The sequence below is a fragment of the Homo sapiens genome, chromosome 15 (genome assembly GCF_000001405.40).
Source record: "Homo sapiens chromosome 15, GRCh38.p14 Primary Assembly".
Classification (NCBI taxonomy): domain Eukaryota; kingdom Metazoa; phylum Chordata; class Mammalia; order Primates; family Hominidae; genus Homo; species Homo sapiens.
The window spans coordinates 79,898,842-79,924,991 of record NC_000015.10 but is presented as its reverse complement, the minus strand read 5'-3'; the positions used below and the strand labels follow the sequence as shown (position 1 = coordinate 79,924,991).

Sequence of the window (26,150 nt, the reverse complement as noted above, 5' to 3'; positions counted from 1 at the left end):
GCGCACAATTGACATCTGAAGCCCAATGAATGTGATCAAAACAAAGCACTTAAATTTTGTTTGGATTTGCTGCCACTAGTACACATCGTAAAGGCAGATTTTCACACTCATACAATTTTCTGCATTCTTCAGTATCTGTCAGCGTGTTCAAATACTTTTAATACACAACTTTTAATACACAAGACACACTTTGGAAAACTTTTTCCGAAGAAAATGATCCAAAGAGCAGAATGTGAGTCAATAAACGGAGAAAGGCAAGCAGCGGTTTTCCATCTTCTGCGCCAGTGTGCTGTAAACTTTTAAGTCCGGAAAACTATGTTTTAACCGATGAGATAATGCCTTTCAAAGTGATTAGCACGACCGGGCGCGCGGTGGCTGACGCCAGTAATCCCAGCACTTTTGAGTGGCTGAGGTGAGCGGATCACCCTGAGGTCAGGGTCGAGACCAGCCTGGCCAAAATGGCGAAACCCCGTCTCTACTAAAATACAAAAATCAGCGAGGCGTGGTGGCGCCCGCCTGTAATCCCAGTTACTCGGGAGGCTGAGGCAGGAGAATCGCTTTAAACCGGGAGGCGGAGGTTGCAGAGCCAAGATCGGGCCATTGCACTCCAGCCTCGGTGACAAAATATAATAATAATAAAATTAAAAAGGGCTTAGCATAGTATCTGGCCAGTAAGAAGAAATTATGATTATTATTTTGACCTTAGACCTCTCTTAACTGTCTGAAATTCGGGTTTCTTAAAGGACACAGGCGGTCTCTGAGGCTCCCGCCAGCGGAAACAATCTCCCATTAAAATAGGCATCGGTTAAATATTTGCTGAACAAAGTAAACTACGTCTCCCCGAATCCCATTGAGCGCCTACTCGAGATCCGGACCGGAGCCGGGCAGGACGGGCCCGTCGGTCCCACACGCCGTATAAGTGGGTGGAGAATACCCCACACGCCCAGACCAATAGGCGGGGTGAACGAGGACCGTGTTCACCAACTCAGCCCGGCTCGCGGAATGCCTTCTGTTCGCCTCCGGGCTTGCAGTGGCTTTCCGTCGCAGGTCAGGCCGCGTTCCACTTCCGCCGGCAGTCCAGACACGCCCCTCCGGGTCCAATCCCCGCCCCTCACACACCTGGCCCCGCCCCGTCGGGAGCTCGGCGGTCCTCTCTGCGCTAGGTCTTCTTAGCGCCCGACGGGGCCACGCCCATCCCCGACGCTCTGAGGTCACCTACAGGGCCGACCCTCGGTGGGCGGAGGGACGGAGGGAAGATGGCTGCAGAGACCGGATATTGGCGCTGCCTCCCCGAATCCCGGACCTGCGCTGAGGAGGCGGTTCATCTGTGGCCAGCGGTGCTTCGGGACCCGCGCTGGGGGAACCCTGGCGACGGGGCCTGGCCCTGCTATATGCGGGGGCCTCGGCTGGAGTGAGCGGCGTGGACGCCTCTTTCCTCCGGCTCTTCCCTTGTTGCTGCGAGAGCGAGAGGGCCGCGGGCGGCGGAGGCAGCGGGGCCGGGATGGAGGACGTTAACTCTAACGTGAACGCGGACCAGGAGGTGCGGAAGCTGCAGGTGCCGGTGAAGAAGCTGGGGAAGCAGCACGAACAGCCGAGGAGCCGCTCGCGCTGTGCTGGGCCCCGGCTCCATCGCGGTTCGCCGGCTCCTCCACTCCCTCCTACGGCGCGGGGTCCCCTCGGGGCTTCCCCTTGGGTCTCAGCGCAAAGTCGGGCGGCGGGGCCGGATGGACCCGAGGCGGACGAATAACGAGGAGCTGCGAGACGCCACCTTCTTGCTGGCGGCGGGGGAGGGCGGCTTGCTAGACGACCTGGAGCGTCTGTCAGGCTAGGAGGAGGGGGAGGAGAGCTGGTGAGCGCCGGGCGCCGGGCGGGGCTGGGCGGGGACGCCCCGGTGGCGGAGGACGTCCCGGAGGATCCCTCTGGTCGGGCGCCTGGCTTTGTGTAGCCAGCCAGGTCCGCTCTCGGCGGGTACTCGTGGTCTTGCTCTGGCAGAGGGGAGGTCAGTTGGAGTTGGGGGTTCGAGGCTTGCAAGTACAGGGCTTGTAGCTCCTTCTCTGGATTGTGGACCCTCTGGGTGCTGGGCCCTATTGGGGTTGGTGGGTTGGTTGGATCCAGAAGGGCTGTTCGCCGTGGGGAGGAGTCGGAGGTGGGAAACTGCTTTGTAGGCAGGGATTCTGCTTTGTATAGGAGACCAGCTTTCGGATGCTGGTCTGGGCATTTTGGATGTTGGGGAGGGGTTTGGCTTGATGAGGTATCACCAAGTTCGGGGGGTGCAGACCAAAGTCGCCGACGTCTATGCAGCGGTTGGTGTTTGGGATCAATTTCTAGCGTGGATGGGGAGACCATGTGGATCAGCACTCCCCTTTAGGTAGTGGGGTAAAGCTTGCTCTGTGTGAAGAGGTCAGAGGATGGTGGTGTTTTGTGTGAAGAATCAAGGGTGAAACAAGAGCCCTGGCTCTGATATTTTAAAACAAGAATTGAGTCTGGCATTTTGCAGAGCTCTGAATTGACATTTATCACATCTATCCTTCATTTCCATGTCCTCCTATGGGCAGAAAAGAGTCCTATTTTAATACCTAAACCAAAGCTGTATTGTCATAAGCCACTTCTTGATGAAATTGTGACACACACCTTAATATCACTTTCATAAATAGGAAATGGGAGGCTTTTCTCCTCATTTTATTATAAAGATGTCTGTGGGAAATTCTCTTAATTCATCCTCTTTAAAATTTTACCTTTTAGCTAAAATGTCTCTGTTGAAATTCAAATTTCTAACTTAGTGAAATCGAAATCATTCATAGACTGTAGTATTGCAGGGCTCGAACTGTGCAGTGTTCTGAGGTAGTTAAGAGCTTTGCTGGATTCAGGCCCTGGGTTTGCCCAGGCCTGTATGACCTTGAGCAAGTTATTCTGAGCTTCACTTTCTTCCTCTATGATGGAGAAAATAATGATAGCACTTACCTCTATAGAGTTATGAAAATTTAGTAAGATAATCCATGTATGCATTTAGCACTGTTGAGATCTTGGCTTACTGCAAGCTCCGCCTCCTGGGTTCACACCGTTCTCCTGCCTCAGCCTCCCGAGTAGTTGGGACTACAGGCACTGGCCACCACTCCCTGCTAATTTTTTGTTTTCGTATTTTTAGAAGAGACGGGTTTCACCGTGTTAGCCAGGATGGCCTCGATCTGACCTCGTGATCCTCCCGCCTCGGCCTTCCAAAGAGCTGGGATTACAGGCATGAGCCACCATGCCCAGCCTATTACTCTTAAGCCTAGTTATTTAAATCAAACATTTAGTGAGCTCTTACATGATGTTATAGGAGACTCTGAAGATTCTCAACTGTTGATTCCTGTTCATAAGGCAGTTATAGTCTTGTTGAGAACTAAGTTTTATGCAGATAAATAAACTAGAAAGTGTATGGTGAATTGCCGAAAGAGAGAACAAAAGTACTGTCAGTGCGCAGTAACTGGGAAGAAAACAGTAGTCCAAAGTAGAGGGGCCAAACTTTGAGGAGGAGGCTTTGGAGTCTGGAAGTGAGGAAAGAGTGGGAAGGGCATTTTATGCTCTGACAGCTACAAGAGCAGAGTCAGAGATATTTGTAACTCCCAGTTAGGAGATTTGAATAACAGAAGTACTCTTGAGTATATGGTGACAAACCTTTATTTTTTATTTACTATTTTTTTTTTTTTTTGAGACGGAGTCTCGCTCTGTTGCCCTGGCTGGAGTGCAGTGGCATGATCTCAGCTCACTGCAACCTCCGCCTCCCAGGTTCAAGCAATTCTTCTGCCCCAGCCTCCCAAGTAGCTGGGACTGCAGGTGCCCACCCCCATGCCCAGCTAATTTTTGTGTTTTTAGTAGAGATGGAGTTTCACCATACTGGCCAGGCTGGTCTCGAACTCCAGACCTCGTGATCTGCCCGCCTTGGCCTCCCAAAGTGCTGCGTGAGCCACCGCACCCAGCCGACAAACCTTTATTACCAGGTGATATCAAATATTATTAGAGCTGACTGTGGTAGTGACAGTTTTTCATATAAATGAAATTGCATCCTCCCAAAGGAATCCTGAGTATGTATGCACTTTAAAAGAACCCAGAATCATCTAAATATTGTCACATGGCTCTTGCAAGTGATGATAATAGTGATGCTTATAATAATGAGGATTAGCTGCACTCATCAGCCTGTAGAAAGTAAAAAGTTTCCTTTTCGAAATTTCCTTTCTTGTTAAAGAATAAATCATAAGTGTTAGAAATAATAGTTTCTTTTAAAGACTAACTTCCTTCAAGCCTCCTCTGCTCTGTGCTAATGACTCTTCATTAAGCCCTATCCTATGTAGCTGTTAGATATAAGGGAATAAGTATATTCTATGTCCTTGTACTTTAACCAAGATATTTGTGCTGGACATGCTCACAGGCACGTTCCAGCTTGCAGCCTATGCCCCTTCCTTATTTGGAAATATTATTACTTTTCTAAGTCTTTTTGCAAGCAACTTCTTCTTTTCCTTTGTTCTCTATTGCCTTTCCCTATATAGGAAAGTTTTAAGTTATTAGCCAGTCGGGTTTAATTTAAATTGTGAGGTCCAGCTCCAGCCAATGGAGACAGGACACAAGCTGCATAAGGGATAAAAACTGCTTCCCTCCTTTGTTCGGGTGTGCTGTCACCATTGTTTCATCTGTGAGGAGCACCCTTTCTGCAGAAAGTAAAATTGCCTTGCTGAAAAAACTTTTTGTCTAAATGCTGGTTTTTCCTTGCAGTACCTAGGAGCAAGCATTCTGTTTCTAAATAAACATTTTACTTGTAACAATGGCGGTGGCCTGTACAGGGAGCCATTCTCCTCCGGGGGTGGGGGGGTGGGTCTCTGGTCCTCTCTCATGAGGAAGGCGCCCCACTGCCTTGTTGTAGCGGCCTCAGGGTAAGGAATCGAGACCCACCAGTTATGACAAATAAACTGGACTCTCAGCAATGTGGAAAGAAACCGGCTGGTGACCTGGAGTAAAAGATCCTCACATACCACCTGGACCAGGCAACTCTGCACAGACCAAGAAAGGAAATGCCAGGGGAGACAGTAAAATACTTCCTTGGTGGTCAGGACTAAGGAAAAAGAAGCCACAGGGCAGTGAAGCATTCTTTGGTTGGGACATACCAAGGTAAAGCATTCCTTAGGACTAAGGAAAGAAAAGCCGCGGGGAGGGGGGGCGGGGGTGGTGAAGTATTCCTTAGTCGAGGTGTCTTGGAGGTTAAAAAGAGGTGAAAAATCCCCATTAGGGGGAGATTGAACCTCACAGAAACTTCCGGTCATAGGAAAAATGTTCAAAACTTCCCTTTCCCCTATTCTTGGGGGAAGAAAGAGGCAAGGGAAAGAGCAGCAGAGAAGAAAGAGAAACTAGGAAAGGAAGTCAGAGAAAGCAAGAGCAGCGAACGTGGCTCCACATTGTTGTGGATTGCTGGCACCTGGCAGAGCGGCAGTGGCTGAGACACTCTCCTCACTCCCGGCCGAGCCAGCCAGAGCCAGCCAGAGCCACCCAGGCTGCTGGCCCCCGAGCCCCGCACCTTCCGTGCTGCTCGGGTGCATCCTGCCACCCTCAGAGGCTAGCTGGCCACGGACACCTGCAAGTTGGAGCCGAGTGGGAGACAATGAGCGCACCGGAGCCAGGAGCCTGTGCCACGCAGCCAGGCAGCCAGGCGCGCCAGAGGGTGGGTCCCTCTCCCCAGCCTGGCTCTGTGTGGAAGAGGGCAGGGACCGGTGCCGGGAGGAGAGCAAAGGAGGCGAAGGGGCATGACTCATGCAACTTGGGGCAGGCGTCTATCTGCCTAGCCGCTAGGCCGGCGGCGGTGGCCCGGACTGTGGCCATGCAGATCCCACCCAGCCCAGAAGACTAAGTGTAAGAGAAAGAGGAAACGGGATGACAGAAAAAGAGCCCAAATGAGAGGGAGAGAATAAGTGAAAGACTGAAAGAGACAGAGATCAAAGAAAGTCACAGAAGGTAAAACGGGAGAGAAATAGTGTAAAAGGTAGTCAAAAAGTTGAGGCATGTTAAAGATTGTGAAAGTCGAAAAAAATGTTATAAAAGGGAATTTATGCAAGAAATATTGTATAATTTAAAAGTTTTTAGCCATCCTGAATATAAAACTATTAAACAGTTTATGTGCAAAGTATGTAAAGAAAGTAAAATATACTTTTAGTAAAAGAATTATAAGGAGGCATAAGAATATAGATTTTTACCTACATTAAAAGATTAAAAAATAGGTGCTAAAAAAATTCAAAAGGAAAATGAATATTGCTAAACCAAAAAGAAATATTATCCAAACACCTTATTAAAAAAAAAAAATCTTGTTCCAACTGCATCAAAGAACCCAGGCCGGGGCCCTCTAAGCTCAGGCTTAATGCCAACGAGTTTTCACCTCCAGCCACTCCTATAGAGGCTGCAGTGCGAGCCGGCTGGAGGACCTAACCACAGACAGACACTTCCTGTGTGGGGGAGGGGGCTGGGCAACCATTAGACAGACAGCCCAGCCCAAGGCCAGGGGCCAGATGGCGGGGTCTCAGGGAGGAGCAAGGTCCAGGGGCAGCCGGGTGAATCACAAGGCCCCTCATCCCTAAGGCCTCAATGCGTGGGAGTGGTGAGGGCCAGAAGGAGGCCAAGACCTTAAGAGGTGGTGGGGCTGCAGCGTCCCCTAGGCAGCACTGAGCCGGGGTGGAGCGGGAGGCGTCACCATGGGGCCTCAAGCCCCAGGATATGCAGAGTTCTGACAAAATAAGGAGCCCCAAAGGGTCCCTCAGAGACAGCATAAGTAAAAACAAGGAAAAAGAAATTTCTTAGCAAAAAGGCACTACGGACTATAAAGTCAAAAAGATACCTATGGGTTACCTTACTTACATTCCACTGCTGATGCCCCCACATCTAAAACAAAAGATCAGTTTCTCAGAAATTATATACTTCCACTTTCCCTTCCCTCAGAACTAAAAGTCTTTTAGCACAGGTACCACCCCTAGAATTTCCAGTACACTAGCACCAGCCTGGGGACCACGTCCTCATCAAAGGATAGAAAGAAGAAAAACTGGAGCCAGCCTGGGAAGGACCCTACCTTGTGCTGCTAACCACCGAGACTGCCTTTCGCACAGCAGAAAAAGGATGGACACATCATACCCGAGTCAAGAAAGTGTCATCACCTTCACAATCATGGGACATTGTTCCAAGGTCAAGCCCTACCAAATTAAGGCTAAGAAAACTTTATCTTTTTCTTTTTCTTCCCTTTAACTATTCCCCATCTTATTATTAATGTAACTAGATCTAACTCACCTGAACTTATTACTTTTGATGCCTGTTTAGTTACACCTTGTGAAGATTTAAATAACCAAACACAGCTTACTACTTCAGAAAAATATCTCTGTCCCTCTTGGACTTCCTTAGTTTAGAAAGACATAATAAGTTCCTATAAGGATACTAATAATCCAGAGAATAGTAGCTATATTAATTGGTAGGAATTGGACTTTTGTCCCTCTAAAACAAAATCTCTATATTCTGCTTGGTCTAATATCCTATAGAACACTAGAAGTCTAAGGTGGACTGCTTCCAGAGGTCTTTGTCCTTAAAACCATATATCCATTTCACCAAAAGAGTTGTTCTTTCTAGCTGTCAACATAACCAGTGTAATCCTATACAGCTTACTATTACTATTGCAACATCTGAAAACTCCTCCCCTTCATTAAGTCATAATATGGGAACTGACATTTCAGAAAAGGATCCTAAAGGAATTTTTAAAATAAGCTTTATTGCTCCTTCAACCTCTCCATCAATCACTCCTCCCAAACATAGTGTCAAAACCAAAGTCTCTGTAGTAGAAGTAAAAAATCTAAGGCAAACCATAGCAATTAAGACAGGGTATCAGGATGTAGATGCCTAGCTAAAATGGGTTAAATTTTCCCTCTGCACTCTAAATAAAAGCCATTATTATGCTTGTGCACACAGTAGGCCAGAGGCTCAGGTTGTCTCCTTTCCACTCAGATGGTCCTCTAATTAACAGGACATGGACTGCATGGTAGCTCTTTTTCAAAATCCTACAGCCTAGGATAGTAAACTGTGCCAAACTCTCTCTGCTGTTTCCTAAAGTGCAGTACCCCAAGGGCCATTCAGCCTCCATCTTCCAAGACCAATTTTATCTCGTGTCTCCAATGACAAGGGGAAAATTTGGCATTCCTTGGAGACTTAACAGGATGCAGTAAGGTCAGGCACTTCCAAAAGCTGACCCATCAGTCCACCCTTATTCATCCCCAAGCAGATGTATGGTGGTATTATAAAGGACCTTTGCTGGGCACTCTGCCAAATAATTAAAGCAGTACTTGCTCTCTAGTTCGATTGGCTATCCCTGTTGCCCTCACATTTCATCAGCCATAAAAACCTTTTCTTTTAAAAACTCAAGCAAAACAATTAAGCCAAAACACGTTTAAACAAAAAAAAGGTTTAAAGAAAAATACAAAATCAAGAGGAGGGAATTGTAGAAAGTAAAAAGTTTCCTCTTAAAAATTTCCCTTCTTGTTAAAGAATAAATCATTAAGTGTTAGAAATAATAGTTTCTTTTAAAGACTAACTTCCTTCCAGCCTCCTCTGCTCTGTGCTAATAACTCTTCATTAAGCCCTATCCTATGTAGCTGTTAGATATAAGGGAATAAGTATATTCTATGTCCTTGTACTTTAACCAAGATATTTGTGCTGGACATGCTCACAGGCACGTTCCAGCTCGCAGCCTATGCCCCTTCCTTATTTGGAAATATTATTACTTTTCTAAGTCCTTTTGCAAGCAACTTCCTCATTTCCTTTGTTCTCTGTTGCCTTTCCCTATTTAGGAAAGTTTTAAGTTGTTAGCCAGTCAGGTTTAATTTAAATTGTGAGGTCCAGCTCCAGCCAATGGAGACAGGACACAGTAGCAGGGACAAGCTGCATAAGGGATAAAAATTGCTTCCCTCCTTTGTTTGGGTGTGCTGTTGCCATTGTTTCACCTGTGAGGAGCACCCTTTCTGCAGAAAGTAAAATTGCCTTGCTGAAAACACTTTTTGTCTAAATGCTGATTTTTCCTTGCAGTACTGAGGAGCAAGCATTCTGTTTCTAAATAAACACTTTACTTATAACAAGCCCACTTTAAATTATGTATTAGAACACATTGAGTCCACTTGGAAAAGCCGATTAAGTCTTGGGCTGCTGTGGTTCCTGAGCATGAGCTTTGTTAAGCTTTGTCAAGTCTTCCTAAATACTATGCCAGGAGTTTCTTTTGACCAGATGATTCCTGCTTATTGCTTTGATCCTGGCTTCATATCTAGATATTATAGATGTCCTACACTTTTTCTGAGAACATTTGTGTGAATTGAAAGTTGGATAAATCATATGTAAAATGCATGAGGCATGTGTGTAGGGTAAAAGTTATAGGGGGTGGATGTCAGTGGCAGGAAGATTCAAAGTTGAGATGTTTTTCTTCTTAGCAAGCTAAGAATCTACCTTCTATAACTTCTAGCCATTGCATCTTCTTTTTCATCTAGAGGAATGTTTCCTCCAGAGTGTATATGCTGCAAAGTGGTAGTTCTGAAGATGTCAATAAATACCATGTAGGAAAAAAAAGTGGGTGGGTTCTGGAGTTGAATAAATGTGGGAAAAAACTGGATTCAAGAAAGATAAACAGGTTTCTTTAATGCTGGGCTCTTGGAGATGCTAATGTGTACTGAACATAGTAAATCTCTAGGGAGTATGGTTTGTTCCTAAATCTAATCGAGCTCCCAAGGAACTAGTATCTTATAGAACACACATAGAAAATAGTGCTCTACAGTAGTCACTTTCACATTTTTTTCTTGGATCCAACTTCATGATAAGAAATACATTTTAACTCATAATCTATTCACATGTATATGAATAACTGAAACAGAAGTTTCACAAAATTATGATTATGTTTGCCACAAATGGTGTGCTCTAATATTTTCCTTCTGTTTCATCAGAAGAAAAATACTGGTTACTATCCAGCTAAGCTGATTTTGTGACCCATTAATGAGTTTCAGTTCTCACTTTGAAAACACTGTTCTAGAATTACAGAAAGGTCTAGGGATGAGAACTAACACCACTGTGCATCACAGTGTGTCAGTCTGTGCCAGGCAGCTTATAAATATTTTTTGCCTCTAATTTTTATACATTTATGAGGTAAGTATCATTTTCTAGGTAAGGATGCTAATCTGTCTCCAAGCCAAATAACACACAGTAAATCATGGCACCAGGATTTGAATCTGGGTCTTTATACATCATAGCCCATGCTGTTCTCACTGTATTTTGCTTTTTCCAAGTATAACCCCGTTTTCACACGAATGGCCCCTTCACATATTTGAAGACTACCGTCGTGTCCGTGCTGACCCTTTCTCCCTGCCACACATGGTGAGCATTCCCTTCTCTTCTTCAGAGTCAATAATCCCAGTTAGTTTAACCATTCCTTAGATAATGTAATTCTCTGATCCTTCAACCGTGGTTATTTTTTCTTAATTAACCCTTAATTGCTCATTGTCATTATACATTGTGCCCAGCATTTTAGATGATATTTGACCAGACAGAGTGTGGTGGGTATGAGCCAAATGCTGGTTTGTTTTTTTTTTAAACCAAATATTTCATTAACAGTTTTAACTTCTGTTACTTATGCTTAATATGAACCAGAAGTGTCAACTTCTCTCTAAAATGTTTTATACATAAGATGTTAAACTGAGTCTCCCTAATCCTGTTTTTGTGTAGTGGATTTTTTTTTTTTTTAGCTTAAATATAAGGCTTTTATTTTTATTTTTTATTTTTTTAGGTGTGCTTAAATATAAGGCTTTTAAATTTCCTTTTGTTAGTTTTTATTTAGACATTTAATACACTTTCTATTTGGTCATCTTTATATTTGGTAGGCATACCTACTATGTCTTCATTCAAATTGTTGATAAAAATATTGACAGAATAAATTACTCAGAAGTGTGCAAGTCAGCTAGACTCACTTTAGATTAACACCAGTCCATTAATCAGCACACATTATGGTTGTTCAGTAACAACTAGTTCTGTCTATTATTGTCAGGCCCATATGACATTTTATGTGGATATTAGGAAAGATTTTGTCAAATGCCGTACTATAATTAAGCTATACTGTGCCTATAAGATTCTCACCTACAGCGAAGAATACTACATTACTAACCTTTGAAAATAACCATTGCAGTTGATTCGGTTGAACTTGTTCACGGTGAATCTTCTAGCTAGGATTCCATGTATTCACTTTTCCTTTCTTAACTTCCAAACATTCTTTTTAATCTAATTTTGAATTTTGCAAGGAATCAGTTTGGTCTGGACTTTCTAGACACTGCTTATTTTTCTCATGAGAAATTCTCATATTTCCTTTTATCCAGACTTTTGATCCTACCAATGTTCACCATAATATTAGTGATAAAATTTCTGTTCCTTTCCATCATTGGGAGTGATATGCCTAAACCCATGTCAAGCTACATCTTGGCTCACTGGATACGTTTATGAAGATGCTTTAAACTCATACTGACTTCTCAAGAATAACCTTTGTTGATAAATGTCCCAATTCAGAGACAGGTAGCTCTGTGGTTTTTAGTCTTTTTTGTCACTTGTGGCTCTTCACTGCTGAGAGTTTATTTATTACATGACTTCTTTGTTCATGTATGCTTTTTGTAGAGGGCCATTGGTAAAATTTGCCTGTAATTTAATCTGATAAGCCTAAGTTAATAAAGCAATTTGTGTACTTATCACCATTTATCTGAGTAGTTTGGCAGTCATTCACTGATTAACATACTAACATCTTGGGAAGTTTTATGTTTTCTAGACTCTTCTGTACCAAGGAGATGTTACTTTAAAGTAATGTGGTTTCTTTGTGTGTGTGTGTTAGACTAATCAGCTGGTTTTTTTTTTTAAGACAGGGTCTTGCTATGTTGCCCAGGCTGGTCTCAAACACCTAGGCTCAAGCAGTCTGCTCACCTTAGCCTCCCAAAGTGTTAGGATTATAGGCATGATCCACCATGTCTGGCCCTCTATTCCCTTGTTTGCAGTGGTTTTCCAGTCATTCTAAAATGGCTTTAATATTTTTTCTTTAATGGAACAAATTCTTGGAGTACCTGTGTGCAGCACAGTGTTGGGAATACTGAGAGACATGATAATGCAAGTTCTTTTTCTTTTTTTTTCGAGACAGAGTCTTGCTGTGTCACCCAGGCTAGAGTGCAGTGGCGCGATCTCGGCTCACTGTAAGCTCTGCCTCCCGGGTTCACACCATTCTCCTGCCTCAGCCTCCCGAGTAGCTGGGGCTACAGGCGCCCGCCACCACACCCGGCTAATTTTTTGTATTTTTAGTAGAGATGGGGTTTCACCATGTTGGCCAGGATGGGCTCGATCTCTTGACCTCGTGATCCACCCGTCTCGGCCGCCCAAAGTGCTGGGATTACAGGCGTGAGCCACCACGCCTGGCCCCAGGTTCTTACTTTCTTAAAAAATAGAATTTAGCCAAGCAAGGCCCCATAGTTGGTAAGTCTATTACAGTCACTATTATGTGCCCATGTTTTATATGCCAAGTGTTGTGTAAGCAGCGGTCTTCAACCTTTTTGGCATCAGGGATTGGTTTTGTGGAAGACAATTTTTCCACGGACTGGGGGTGGCAGATGGGGGTTGATTTCGGGATGATTCAAATGCATTATATTTATTGTGCACTTTATTTCTGTTATTATTACAGTGTAATATATAATGAAATCATTATACAACTCAGCACAATGTAGAATCAGCGAGGGCCCTGAACTTGTTTTCCTGCAACTAGATGGTCCCTTCTGGGGTTGATGGGAGATTGTAACAGATCATCAGGCATTAGATTCCAATAAGGAGTGCCCAACCTAGATCCCTTGTGTGCACAGTTCACAATAGGGCTCATGTTGCTATGAGAATCTAATGCCACCGCTGACCTGAAGAGGTGGAACTCAGGCAGTAATGCAAGCAATAGGGACTCGCTGTAAATACAGATGAAGCTTTGCTTACTTGCCTAGCTACTCACCCTGCTATGTGGCCTGGTTCCTAACAGGCCGCTGACTGGTACTGGTCCATGGCCTGGGGGTTGGGGACACTTGGTGTAAGGCATTTTATTTATTTTTTTCGAGACACAGTCTTGCTCTGTCGCCCAGGCTGGAGTGCAGTGGTGTGATCTCAGCTCACTGCAGCCTCCACCTCCCAAGTTCAAGCGATTCTCCTGCCTCAGCCTCCTGAGTAGCTGGGATTACAGGCACACGCCGCCACGCCTGGCTAATTTTTAGTATTTTAGTAGAGATGGGGTTTCACTGTGTTGCCCAGGCTGGTGTCGAACTCCTGAGCTCAGTCAACCCACCAACCTCAGCCTCCCAAAGTGCTAGGATTACAGGCGTGAGCCATCGCACCCGGCCACACTTTTTTTTTTGTTTAATTGAGGTAGAGACTCGCTCTGTTACCCAGGCTGGAGTGCAGTGGTGGAATCCACAGCTCACTGCAGCTTTGACCTCCCAGGCTTGAGTGATTGTGTTACCTCAGCCTCTTGAGTAGCTAGGACCACAGGTGTGTTACACCACGCCTGGCTAATTTATTTTTTATGTTTTGTAGAGACAAGGTCTCACTATGTTGCCCAGGCTGGTCTTGAACTCCTGGGCTCAAGTGATTCACCTGCTTCAACCTCCCAAAGTGTTGGGATTACAGGCGTGAGCCATTATGCCCAGCTCCTTTACACATGTTAAATCATTTAAAGTGTACAATTTTGTCATACTTACTATTCTTTTTTTATTGTAAAATGTACATAACAAAATTTACCATGATAATCATTTTTAAGTGTACAGTTCAGTGGCATTAAGTACATTCACATTGTTGTGCAGTCATCACCACCATCCATCTCTAGAACTTTCATCTTCCTCGATTGAAACTGTATACCCATTAAAGAACAATTGCCTGTTCCCATGACCCCCAGCCCTTGACAACTACCATTCTACTTTCTGTGTCTATGATTTTGACCACTCTAGGTACCTCATATAAATAGAATCATACAATATTTGTTTTTTTTTGTGTCTGGCTTATTTAGCATTATGTCTTCACAGTACATCCATGTGGTAGAATGTGTCATGTTATCCCCATTTTAGAGTAAAAGAAGCTAAGCCCAAAGTCACATAGCTAATAAAGTGAAGTTGAGATTCACACCAAACCTAAAAGTCATGTCTAATGAAGAACGTTTGACCTTGTTTTATTTAGCCTATTTAGCTTGGGAAGAGAACTTTTTGAATATTTGAAGGACTATAATAAGGATTATTACTTATATAACTCCTCATCATTACACTAATAGGTGTAAATTAGAGGCAGGAAAATTTTGATTTAGTAGAAGGAAGGATTTTCTAATAGAGCTGTTTTTGGATGATATGGACTGCTGGAAAAAATTGTTGGAAATAATCTTCAGAAGACTGCCAAATGTTCCTGTGGCAGGGGATGTTACAAAGAAATAAAAAAGTTGAGTTATCTGAATTCTAAGTGTTCTTTTAATTCTGTTGTGGTCTGTGTGGGAGCATAAGATAGCTTCAAGAGAAAGTGCTAAGCTTAAGTGTGGGAGAGATCTTTAGCAATGGAAGCATCATGGATTTTTTATTTTTAAGTCTGTGGCACATTTCTCTGAATATCCTCAGTAATGGCCAGTTGTTTTCTTCTTGAGGGTAGGTTTGAATTTTGAAAACCATTAGAAGTCCTTATCATGCCTGGTGAATAAAAATGGATTAGCAAGATACTTAGAAGTCCTCAGCAGTCCAATGCCAATTTGCCTTTTTCCTAGATTTACTTGCTTTTCCCAGAACCTTTATGAACATTTATGTCCTTTGGCATTTGATGTTCATCCCTTTTTTCTCTTCCTCTTACCAAAATTTTCCTTATTCTTCAAGCACGATGCAGATTTTCTTTCCTTTGTGAAGTTCTGAACTTTTAACTTGGTTTACTTCCTCTTTAATGTTAACCTATTGAGTGAAGTTCTGAACTTTTAACTTGGTTTACTTCCTCTTTAATGTTAACCTATTGAGTGAAGTTCTGAACTTTTAACTTGGTTTACTTCCTCTTTAATGTTAACCTATTGAGAGGTGAAGCCAGCTGGACTTCCTGCCTCAAGTGGGGACTTGGAGAACTTTTCTGTCTAGCTAGAGGATTGTAAATGCACCAATCAATGCTCTGTGTCTAGCTAAAGGATTGTAAATGCACCAATCAGCACTCTGTAAAAACGCACCAATCAGCACTCTGTAAAATGGACCAATCAGCAGGATGTGGGCGGGGACAAGGGAATAAAAGCTGGCCACCCCAACCATCAGAGGCAATTGGTTCGGGTCTCCTCCCACAGCTGTGGAACCCTTGTTCTTTTGCTCTTCACAATAAATCTTGCTGCTGCTAACTTTTTGGGTCTGTGCCACCTTTAAGAGCTGTAACATTTACCGCAAAGGTCCAAAGCTTCATTGTTGGTCAGCGAGACCAAGAACCCGGTGGAAGGAACCAACTCCGGACACACTATCACTGTTTATATATCCTTTCTTAGAGTATATTTAACACAACCACCTTGTACTTTGGTCTGTGTAGTCTAGATTGTGAGCAATCTAAGCAGGAGGACAGTACCATATTCATGTTTATGTTTCTGAACAGAACCACAGTATAGTAAGACTTCAGTTATACTAATTTAAATGAAATCAATCTATCAGTGATGTTAGGTTAAAATGAGGTGAAACTGTAAACTGAGACCAAATTTCTTACATGACCGTTATGCCAGTTACAGATGAGGAATTTCACACAGATTCTGAATAATGGCAGTATTGAATCTCCTTTCCCATGATGAATTAAAAAAGAAAATACTGTCTAGATCTAGTGTCTGATTTTAAAAGTCAGTTTTAGAATTAACCAAAGTACTGGCATGGCTCTGTTTTGTAGGATTACAGAAGCACTTTGTTTTAAAGTGCTTTGTACTTTTTGTGATTTCCAAGTTTTCTCTCATGAATATGAATTGCTTTTATAATTTAAAAAATCCTACTGATAAAATTTGTCAGTTTCATTACCGCGTGGTCATGTAGGGATCATAATATAACCTGATACATTAAAAGCCATTGATGTTTTCCTTGTTACTTAGTGCTAGTAAGATTATACATCACAGATGGAGAAATTTTGGTTTCAATAAGTTTAGATAATGCATTTTTGATAGAATTGGAACCCAAGACAGCTGATATGATCTTATGATCTATTATACTTGTTTGTTTTAAATTTAACAATTTAATTGGACAAAAAAATTTCTTGAATTTGATAGCACCCACGACCAAAAGTGGTTTAGAATGCCTCTTATTCTTGTTTTTAACTTTTCATTTATTTATTTATTTAGAGATGGAGTCTTGCTCTGTCGCTCAGACTGGAGTGCAGTGGCCTGATCTCGGCTCACTGCAACCTCCATCTCCCAGGTTCAAGTGATTCTGCTGCCTAAGCCTCCCGAGTAGCTGGGATTACAGGCGCCTGCCACCACATCCGGCTAATTTTTGTACTTTTACTAGAGACGGGGTTTCACCATGTTGGCCAGGCTGGTCTGTAACTCCTGACCTGAGGTGATCCATCCGCCTTGGCCTCCTAAAGTGCTGGGATTACAGGCGTGAGCCACTGCGCCCGGCCTAACTTTACATTTAGAAAATGAAATTGCGCAAGTGTAACTATTAAAATGTTTATCGTATCTACCTAAATAAACTATGTAGTCTGTTTTCATGAAAAACGACAGCAACTTTGTTTTTTAGGAATATCAGATAAGGAACCCAAAACAGTATTGCTCACATCCTGTGAACTTTCTGGATCGCTGATGTTGCTGCTGCTGCTCAGTCCCATCTTTGAGGCCACCCTGCATTCAAATCCCTGTGCCAAATTGCCCAGGGAACCCGGTCCTGGTGCCCTGGTAGCCCAAAAGGGCTACTTGCCTTCTCCTTCCACTTACCCAGACCCCTGCCTCCCTTACCCTTCTGCTAGGAACATGTCTACAACTATATAAATTCGTGTAATTTTGACATGATATTTGAAAAAGACAATTTGGGCAGTAAATAGCAGAATTAAGTAGTGTCTTAATGTAAATGGTTTGTGTTACCACAATACACTGTTCTAGCCAAAGCACATTGCATGTGACTCCTGTTGCACTAGTTTTTAGTAGCAAAAATGAACCTGTAAAAGAATGTAGGTTTTAAGGCTTTGGTAATATAAGTTATTTCTTTCTTATTTATTTATTTATTTTTAAGAGAGTTTCATTCTGTCGCCCAGGCTGGAGTGCAATGGCGCGATCTCGGCTCACTGCAACCTCTGTCTCCCAGGTTCAGGTGAGTCTCCTGCCTCAGAGTCTGGAGTAGCTGGGAATACAGGTGGCTGCCACCACGCCTGGCTAATTTTTTTGGTGCTTATTTTTAGTAAAGATGGGGTTTCACCATGTTGGCCAGGCTAACATAATACTTCTTTGTAAAAAAAGTTTTTGTAAATGTTTTATGTAAAATGTTTTATATGAGCATACATATATGTACATATATGTACATGTATGTTTATGTATTTTATATATACATAAAAATCTTGCATACATATATTTACATGTGTATATGTAAAAACAGTACATGGTGGTAATTCTGCAACTTTTTTTATCCAAAGGTATTTAAAATAGTATTATTAAAAGTGCTATGTATATTCTAATGTATGTAAATGCTGTAGAGTATCTGGCCATTTGTGGCTGATAGCTGTTTAGGTTATTTCAGGTTTGTTATCACACACAGTGCTTTATTGAATGTCATTTTTCCTCATGCATGTGTGTAGTTTTCTAGGGTGGATGTTGGGTTGTAGATGCTGGGTCATGGTGTACGTACATTTTTTCATTTACTAGGTCCTTGCCTTCCAAAGTGGCTCCACCAAGTTACACTCCCATCAGCAGCTTGTTAGAGTATCCATGTCTCCCTACCCCAGCTGACTAATGTTAGTTTGTAGCAATCTGTTATACTTTCCTTAATTTGTTGGGCTAAAAAACTGCAGAGTTTATCTTGTTTTAATTCTTGTTTCCTTGATTCCCAGTAAGGTTAAATATTTTTCCATTTGAGCATCTTTTCATATATTAACTGATCATTTGTAAATCTTATGCAGGGAATTGCCTGTTTATATCCTTTGCCCATTTTCCTATTATTTGGTCTGTTATTGATTTGTAGGAATTCTTTGAATATTCTGGATACAAATTATTTTTATATATGTGGCAGTTATCTTTAGTTTGCTGATTATTAAGATTATTATTATTTTTTTGAGACGGAGTCTCACTCTGTCTCCCAGGCTGGAGTGCAGTGGTGCGATCTCAGCTCACTGCAAGCTCCGCCTCCTGGGTTCACACCATTCTCCTGCCTCTGCCTCCCGAGTAGCTGGGACTACAGGTGCCCGCCACCACGCCTGGTTAATTTTTTGTATTTTTAGTAGAGACGGGGTTTTACCGTGTTAGCCAGGATGGTCTCAATCTCCTGACCTTGTGATCCACCCGCCTTGGCCTCCCAAAGTGCTGGGATTACAGGCGTGAGCCATCGCGCCCGGCCTGCTGATTATTCTTTAAAGCTGACAATGTCTTCGGTCATTATAGCCGTTTAAATATTTGTTGCGATCAAATTTATTGATCTTTTACTTGATGCCTTTTTCATTTTGTTTAAGGCCTTCCTGCATGATAGAGCTTACTGAAGCTACTCCCCTTTCTTAGTCATCTTCTTTCTGGAACTTAGTTCTTTCTAACTGAGCCTGACTGAGGCTGGGCGAAGCATGTGAAATGTTTTGTCATGTTTTCTTCTAGTTGGCTGTGGGAGGCTATACTTGAGGACTGGTGGAAATTTCAGCTGCACTGTGTAGATTTCAGGTGAAGGCAAACGTTGTCTGGCACAGAGGACCACAGATGAGCCTGCAGAGAAATACTCTACTAGTTTGCCGGCTCTATGTGGTTTTGGATTGTATTTCCAATGCCTAGCTTAGTACTTGGAACACACAGACAGTGAATAAATATTACTTAAAAATTTAACTTCTCCACAATAAATTTTGTGAGCTTCTGGAACTCATTGTTAGCAAAGGCTGTGGAATCTTGTCTGTGAGAATTTCTAGTAGTACCCTCATCTTTCGAGGGTGGTACACTCATGTAAACATGAGTGCAGTTGCATGAATCTCTCCCGAGTGTAGATACAAATACACACATTGCCTGCATGTGCACACACTCAGCCTTTCTAAAGTTTCCAAGCTCTTTAAAAAAACAAAAAACAAAAAACACCTGAATAGTTCAGGTTGTAGACATGAAATAAATACTCTTGAAGATGTCATTTCAAAGCAATCTATGTGCTCCTTTTCCAGCTCAGATGAGACATTGATCTTAAGGAAAGGAAAGGCAGTGCTTTTTTGGGTTAGTACAAACTGACATGGAAAACTGTTACCTTCTTTTCATAGTGATGTTGACAAATCTGCTCAAATGAATGAATTTACTCTTGAATGATTCATTTCAGGGGAAATGGCACAATCACTTCCTTATGCTAGTAGTCAGTGGCCCGCAAGAAGAGGTAAGAGTAGAGGAGGCACTCACAACTTTATCAAGATGTGAGCACTGGCTTTAACTTGCCTGAAAAAACTCTCAAGAAATCACTGATCATAAAACATACAATCTATAATTTTTTTTTTTTTTTTTTTTGAGACGGAGTCTCGCTCTGTCGCCCAGGCTGGAGTGCAGTGGCGTGATCTCGGCTCACTGCAAGCTCCGCCTCCCAGGTTCCTGCCATTCTTCTGCCTCAGCCTCCCGAGTAGCTGGGACTACAGGCGCCCACCACCACGCCCGGCTAATTTTTTGGATTTTTAGTAGAGACGGGGTTTCACCGTGTTAGCCAGGATGGTCTCGATCTCCTGACCTCGTGATCTGCCTGCCTCAGCCTCCCAAAGTGCTAGGATTACAGGTGTGAGCCACCGCGCCTGGCCACAATCTGTAATTTAATTAAATTTTAAAAGTGCCCAGAGACTTTATGGAAACTTTGTATTAAGAATGCAGTATGTGAGTATAGCATAGCTATTTGGAGCACCAACTTGGAAGCAGACAGACCTGGCTTCATTTCTGGGCTCAAGTGCTTACTACCTGTGTGACTTATACAAGTTTCTTTCTTTCTTTTTTTTTTGAGATGGAGTCTCACTCTGTTGCCCAGGCTGGAGTGCAGTGGTGCGATCTCTGCTCACTGCAAGCTCCGCCTCCTGGGTTCATGCTGTTCTGCCTCAGCCTTCCAAGTAGCTGGGACTACAGGCGCCTGCCACCGTGCTCGGCTAATTTTTATTTTATTTTTTAATTTTTTTTTATTTTTAGTAGAGATGGGGTTTCACTGTGTTAGCCAGGATGGTCTCAATCTCCAGACCTCGGACTTATACAAGTTTCTTAACTTCCCTAAGCCTTGGTTCCTCATCTGTAAAAACAGGAAAATATTGCAACCTATCTCCTGGGACTTGTATAAGGATTAAATCAGTTAATGTAAACAAAGCACTTGGAACAATTCCTGAAAATGAGTACTCAGTACAAGTTTAGGGTTTTTGTTGTTAGTAATAGTAGTATTACCTAGCTTCCATTGAGAGAATCTGACTATATTTAGTTTCCATAAATTATATGATCAAATACAGTTAGATACTAGTTACCATGTAAAGCAGATCCCCTAATGGGAAGAAACGAGACTGGTCTATCAGTAATGGGACTTATAATCTCTTTCCTTATTCTCTTTCTCCTTTTTATCAGCTTGTCTTTCCTGCCTACCTGCCTTCCTGCCTTCTTTTGTTTGTGGCTTCTCATCTCTCTTTTTGTCCTCTTCCACATTTACCATGGTTTCCTCCTGTCCGCTCTCCTAATTTGAAGTGCTGAGAGGATGTGCTCTCACAAGATCTGACAGGAGAGCTAGTGCCATTTGGCTGCCTCCAGCATTCATAAGGAAAGGATGGTTCTTAAAAACCATTAGTATGATCATGAGATGAAACTCGTGTCTCTTCTCTTGGGATCACCCTTCCTTTTGAACCAGGTGGATCTTCTTACTTCCTCCCCCTTCAATGAAGCATTCTCCTCTGCATATGCTGGGGGAGTAGAAAGAATGCTTGGCACTCAGCTCCACATGGGAGAAATCATATCTATTTAATGCATCACTGTGTACCTCATGCCTAGGACCTGTTGCATAGAAGGTAACAAATATTTGCTGAGGGAATGATTTAGTGAAGCCACACTGAAACTGGAGATTTGAACTCTGGTTTTCTTACTCACTAGAGGTATAACCTTGGGTAAGTTACTGAGGTACTCTGAGACTCAGATTCCTTATATAATGTATATAATAATATATGACATGATAATTTATTATATATAATATTTAATGAAAATGATATGACATGATTATTTTATATAATATTTAATGAAAATGATGACATTATTATATATAATATTTAATGAAAACAATAATACCTACCTTTAATGGAAAGTTAAAGGATTATAAAACTTTTTTTTAAAAGTGCTTTGCAAACTGTCAAATACTGTGCAACTATGAGAGTCATGTGGGAAATTCCAGGAAGTTTAGATAGGTAATTCTTTGCCCTTCTGAAAGTAGGACGTACAGTCAGAGTTGGTGCTTTCCAAGTAACCACCATTTTAAAGCTTGGGTCATAGAGTTAGGCCAAGAGGTCTTTCTTTTCTTTGTCATCCCCTTACCCTAAATAATAGTCTGGTTAATTTGAGGCCAAATAAATGGGCACACAGAGACATATAGATGATTGACTAAGCATTCAGTTTGGCAAAGGCGTTTCCAAAACATATAAACATCTAGCAGTGAGGTGCTATGATCTCAAGTATTCATATATATCCTTTTATTAAATACGTTTTGGGGCAAAATTTTTCTATTTCTTTTGAATTTTTACTTGAGATTTTAAAGTCATTTAGTGAAAAATAAAAGACCCTCAAGACAGGCAGAAATGCATGATAGTGACACAGGAGTTAGAGAAAAGCACCTCTCCCGAGGGGCCCCTCAGTCAAGCTCTCTTAAGTGCTAGTTCTCTAACCTTGGGAGTCAGCCTGGACTCCTGTCTCTCATAGCCCACATCCATCCATCAGCAAATCCCCTTGGCTGCCCCTTTGAAATGCTGTAATCACTTGACTCTGTCAGTAGCCTCCTGCCAGACTCCATGGTTCCATCCTTTATCTGCTATAATTTGTTTTCCACATAGTACCCACAGTGATATGTTACAGACTTGAATTAGATCTGATCTTGGCCTAATCAGAACTCTCCAAAATGCCCCTTCACCCTGGGAACAAAAGCACAACATCCTGAGTATGAAGTTACCCAAAGCCCTTTATGACCTGGCCTCTACCTGCCTCTCAAATCTCATTTTCTACGAATCCCTTCCTGTTCTCATAGCTCCAGCCTCCTTAGATAAACTAAGCACACTCCATCCTCCAGTCTTTGCAGTTGCTGTTGCCTCTGCCTGGAATAATTTTCCGCCATAAGTTCGCCTGCCTTCCCTCTTCTTTTCGCCCAGGTATCCCTTCCAAGGAATTCTTCTCCTCAGAGAAGTCTTCCTTGATCAACCCATCTAAGAAAGTACCACTATCACTCTCTGTCTCCCTGCCCAACTTTATTGCCTTCATAATAGTTTTCATGACTGGACATCCCATTGCATATTTATTTGCTTATCTGTTTATTGTCTGTGTCTGCCATGAGAATGTGAGCTTAGTGAGGACACGGATCCTGTATGCTTTGTTCACCACTGTGTTTCCAGTACTTTAACTGATACTGGCATGTGGCCAATGCTCAGTGAATATTTCCTGAGTGAACAAAGGAATAGTCTTTAGAGAAGTGAGAAAGCATGATACTTGCCTGTATCTTTTTTTTTTTTCCCCATACAAAGTCTTGCACTGCCACCCAGGCTGGAGTACAGTGGTGTGATCATGGCCCACTGCAGCCTTGACTTACCAGGCTCAAACAATTCTACCAACCCAGCCTCCCAAAGTGCTAGGATTACAGGCATGAGCCACTGTGCCTGGCTGCCTGTATCTTTAAAAATTCTGAGGTTCTGATTTTCTTTAGATTACTGATACTGTATATTATTTTATGCTTTAGGTTTTGTTGAAACCAAGGTAGCTGAATTTAACAAACTATCACTGTTCCCAGAAATAATAAGGCCTGAACAATTCTTATTTACTACTGCATTACTGATAGGATATTGAATCCTTATTTGTATATTTATTTTTATATAATGGTCTTAAGATACAAATAGCATCATTAAAGAAAATATATTTGAAAATAACATTTTTGAAAGGAAGAAAAGTCACTCCCATCACCCTAACATATCCACATGCAGACATTGTATGCAATTATAATTAGGGTGTACATAAGAGTTTTTTGGTGTGACATACAAATATTTTCAACACTGTCTCACATACTCCATGTTAACATTAGGCATTAATTTCTAATGTCTACAGAATAGTTCATTAATTTGCCATATCATAATTTACTTAACCAATTCCCAATTGTTAGACAATTTGGTTTTGATTTTCCCCCTTTTATTTATTTATTTATTTTTTGAGACAGAGTCTCACTCTGTCATCCAGGCTGTAGTGCAGTGGCTTGATCTTGGCTCACTGCAACCTTCACCTCCCAGGTTCAAGCAATTCTCCTGCCTCAGCCTCCTCAGTAGCTGGGATTACAGGCATGTACCACCACACCCAGCTAATTTTTGAATTTTTAGTAGAGACAGAGTTTCACCACATTGGCCAGGCTGGTCTCGAACTCCTGACCTCAAGTGATCTCCCCACCTCAGCCTCCCAAAGTGCTGGGTTTATAGTTCTGAGCCACTTCGCCCAGCCTGGTTTTCCCCTTTTAGATATAATGGTTCAGTAGTGAAGCATAGGTATGCTTTTCTGGTGCCCCCTACCTTCCAATATTTTAGAAGACTGCCTCATGATAAATTTCTAACAGTGGAGTAACTGGTTCATAAGATGTGTGTATAATTACGATATTCTAGCATACTGGAAAACATATTTTCTTTTCGAAAGTATTATATCAATAGAACAATATCATAGCAACCTTATCAGTGTGGGTGGTACTATTAATAATTTTGAGGGTTTAATAGGCATCAAATAAAGCCACTTTAATAGGTCTAAAAAAAATAAGACTTTGTTAAAATGTACATTTCTTTAACTGCTATTAATGTTTTTCTCATATACTTGTGAATGATTTATATTTCTCTGTTTAATGGTCTCTCCTTTTTAAACTATTAAGGGCCTGAGAATTTTCTCTCACATTTGAATGAACACTTTCATGGTATATGTAAATATTTTCCTAGTTTATTGTTCTTTTTAGTTTTTCATAGTTAAAAAAATTTTTAATCTTCATCTGGCTGAATTTATCAATATTTTCTTTGTTCACTGTCCTTTCTTTAGACGTTGATGTATATGACATGTTAACTGATCAATGATAATAGACAATGATTATCGTTATAATAAAAGTCATTTCAGAGGGTCTCATCATACTTGCGAAATATGGTGTTTAGGAAGGGGCGTAATGAAGTGGATACCTCCCTAGAGTGTAATCTATGAGTATGTACTGGCAGAAGGGAAAGAGGAAGAAGAGGGGCAGTTTCCTTCCTCTGTCAAGGCATGACAGCATGTCTCAGAGCACGACGCACACTTACGTAGGCAGAAAATGGCTTTCTAAGTCTTTCAAATGAAATCCCCCTGGCTGGTGGTATTCATCTGCTTTGCCAGTGATGTTCATAAAATGATTCCAAGGCACCGCAGAGCTCTCGAATCTCTCCCAACTATCAAAGGGTTATGCTTGGTTTACGTTTCAATATTAGTTACACTTTGCTCTGAGCTACTTGCAGGCATTTGTAACCCCAGGTTCTGGAACCTGTAAGATGCAGCCACAAATGTTTGCTAGATGAACATTCGAAAAAATTATTTTAACAATTTTCGAATATTTTGGCACTTGTTTGGAAATGTATGGAGTGGAAAGAAGTAGGGTATTTGCATTCTAATCCAGGTCCAGGCACCAAGGGTTTGGCTAATCTTAGATAACTGATTTTTTTTGTGGGCCTCACTTTCCTCATTTGTTAAGAGAGAGCATTAGGCTAGATGATCTCAGAGGGACTTTTCAGTGAGGATTCTATGATTATAGATTGTAAATTAAATAAAATGTCCAGTTAATTGGGTTATCCTACATTTTTAAAACTATGTCCGATCACAAAGAGAGTAGATTATAAAAGAAACCATCAACCTTTTCATAGCTTCAAAGGTATTGGTTTAATTTGGATTTACTGTGAGTTCTCATGAGTTTCAATACAATGCAGTTTACAGTATAATAGAATTCATATTACAAATATAAGTGCATTGAAATCAATGTTGGACAATTAAACAAGAACAAGAACAAAAAGACTTTTTATCCTCTAGAGCTGTGCTTGCTGTTCACTATGGTAGTAAAATGTGGCTAGTCTGAATTAAGATACGCTGTAAGTACTAAATACTCATGAGATTTTGAAGGTTTGTTATGAAAAAAACTATCTCATTAGTGATTTGACATTGATTACATACAGAAATCATTATCACTAAATATATCTTAAAAATTAATTTTTCCTATTTTTGTACTTTTTAAAATGTGGCTACCAAAAATTAAAATTACAGATGTAGGCCACACTGTGTTTCTGTTACACAATGCTCCTTTAGAGGGATAGAAGATTATTTGCATTATTTAAATGAAAATATTTTTGCTTTTTATTCCAGCATACTTAATCTCCAATGATTTTTAAAATGTTAAATTTATTCTCTCATAGGAAAATGGCTTTGTAAAGAAGCTTGAGCCTAAATCTGGCTGGATGACTTTTCTAGAAGTTACAGGAAAGATCTGTGAAATGCTCTTCTGTCCTGAAGCAATACTGTTGACCAGAAAGGACACTCCATATTGTGAAACCGGCCTAATTTTTCTGACTCTTACGAAAACGATTGCCAACACATACTTCTACTTTTAAATAAACAACTTTGATGATGTAACTTGACCTTCCAGAGTTACAGAAATTTTGTCCCTATTTAATGAATAAATTGTATGTATTTTTCTCTA

At 41.7% G+C, this 26,150-nt stretch overlaps 1 protein-coding gene and 2 long non-coding RNA genes across 4 annotated transcripts in view, besides 8 other annotated features; 2 read left to right on the top strand and 1 right to left on the bottom strand.

Moving 5' to 3' along the window:
• Positions 1-661: an enhancer, noted in NCBI's record as "H3K27ac hESC enhancer chr15:80216673-80217333 (GRCh37/hg19 assembly coordinates)". NCBI's record gives its function as "activates a minimal SCP1, AML or CMV promoter by ChIP-STARR-seq in primed H9 embryonic stem cells {active_cell/tissue: H9 hESC(primed)}" and the evidence as "EXISTENCE:reporter gene assay evidence [ECO:0000049][PMID:30033119]".
• On the bottom strand, positions 138-2,221 carry ST20-AS1 (ST20 antisense RNA 1). The gene has a single exon (NR_028330.1). It is a non-coding gene; the product is annotated as an ST20 antisense RNA 1 (long non-coding RNA).
• Positions 863-912: an enhancer, noted in NCBI's record as "active region_9936". NCBI's record gives its function as "activates an Ori minimal core promoter by ATAC-STARR-seq in GM12878 lymphoblastoid cells {active_cell/tissue: GM12878}" and the evidence as "EXISTENCE:reporter gene assay evidence [ECO:0000049][PMID:35858748]".
• Positions 1,053-1,202: a silencer, noted in NCBI's record as "silent region_6729". NCBI's record gives its function as "represses an Ori minimal core promoter by ATAC-STARR-seq in GM12878 lymphoblastoid cells {active_cell/tissue: GM12878}" and the evidence as "EXISTENCE:reporter gene assay evidence [ECO:0000049][PMID:35858748]".
• On the top strand, positions 1,240-26,150 carry ST20 (suppressor of tumorigenicity 20). Of its 2 annotated transcripts, none has more exons than NR_037652.2 (3): positions 1,240-1,540; positions 17,308-17,363; positions 25,867-26,150. It is a non-coding gene; the product is annotated as a suppressor of tumorigenicity 20 (long non-coding RNA). The 2 variants fall into 2 exon arrangements; NR_037653.2 differs by having other exon boundaries at positions 17,286-17,363.
• Positions 1,343-1,522: an enhancer, noted in NCBI's record as "active region_9935". NCBI's record gives its function as "activates an Ori minimal core promoter by ATAC-STARR-seq in GM12878 lymphoblastoid cells {active_cell/tissue: GM12878}" and the evidence as "EXISTENCE:reporter gene assay evidence [ECO:0000049][PMID:35858748]".
• Positions 1,823-1,872: a silencer, noted in NCBI's record as "silent region_6728". NCBI's record gives its function as "represses an Ori minimal core promoter by ATAC-STARR-seq in GM12878 lymphoblastoid cells {active_cell/tissue: GM12878}" and the evidence as "EXISTENCE:reporter gene assay evidence [ECO:0000049][PMID:35858748]".
• Positions 1,883-1,952: a silencer, noted in NCBI's record as "silent region_6727". NCBI's record gives its function as "represses an Ori minimal core promoter by ATAC-STARR-seq in GM12878 lymphoblastoid cells {active_cell/tissue: GM12878}" and the evidence as "EXISTENCE:reporter gene assay evidence [ECO:0000049][PMID:35858748]".
• ST20-MTHFS (ST20-MTHFS readthrough) overlaps positions 1,900-26,150 on the top strand; it is a 79,546-nt gene continuing 55,295 nt past the window's right edge. The window contains exons 1-2 of the mRNA NM_001199760.2: positions 1,900-1,953; positions 17,308-17,363. Coding sequence (NP_001186689.1) covers positions 17,319-17,363 — 45 coding nt within the window. The 5' untranslated portion in view covers positions 1,900-1,953; positions 17,308-17,318. The remainder of the gene's footprint in view (positions 1,954-17,307; positions 17,364-26,150) is intronic.
• Positions 1,973-2,082: a silencer, noted in NCBI's record as "silent region_6726". NCBI's record gives its function as "represses an Ori minimal core promoter by ATAC-STARR-seq in GM12878 lymphoblastoid cells {active_cell/tissue: GM12878}" and the evidence as "EXISTENCE:reporter gene assay evidence [ECO:0000049][PMID:35858748]".
• Positions 22,735-22,784: a silencer, noted in NCBI's record as "silent region_6725". NCBI's record gives its function as "represses an Ori minimal core promoter by ATAC-STARR-seq in GM12878 lymphoblastoid cells {active_cell/tissue: GM12878}" and the evidence as "EXISTENCE:reporter gene assay evidence [ECO:0000049][PMID:35858748]".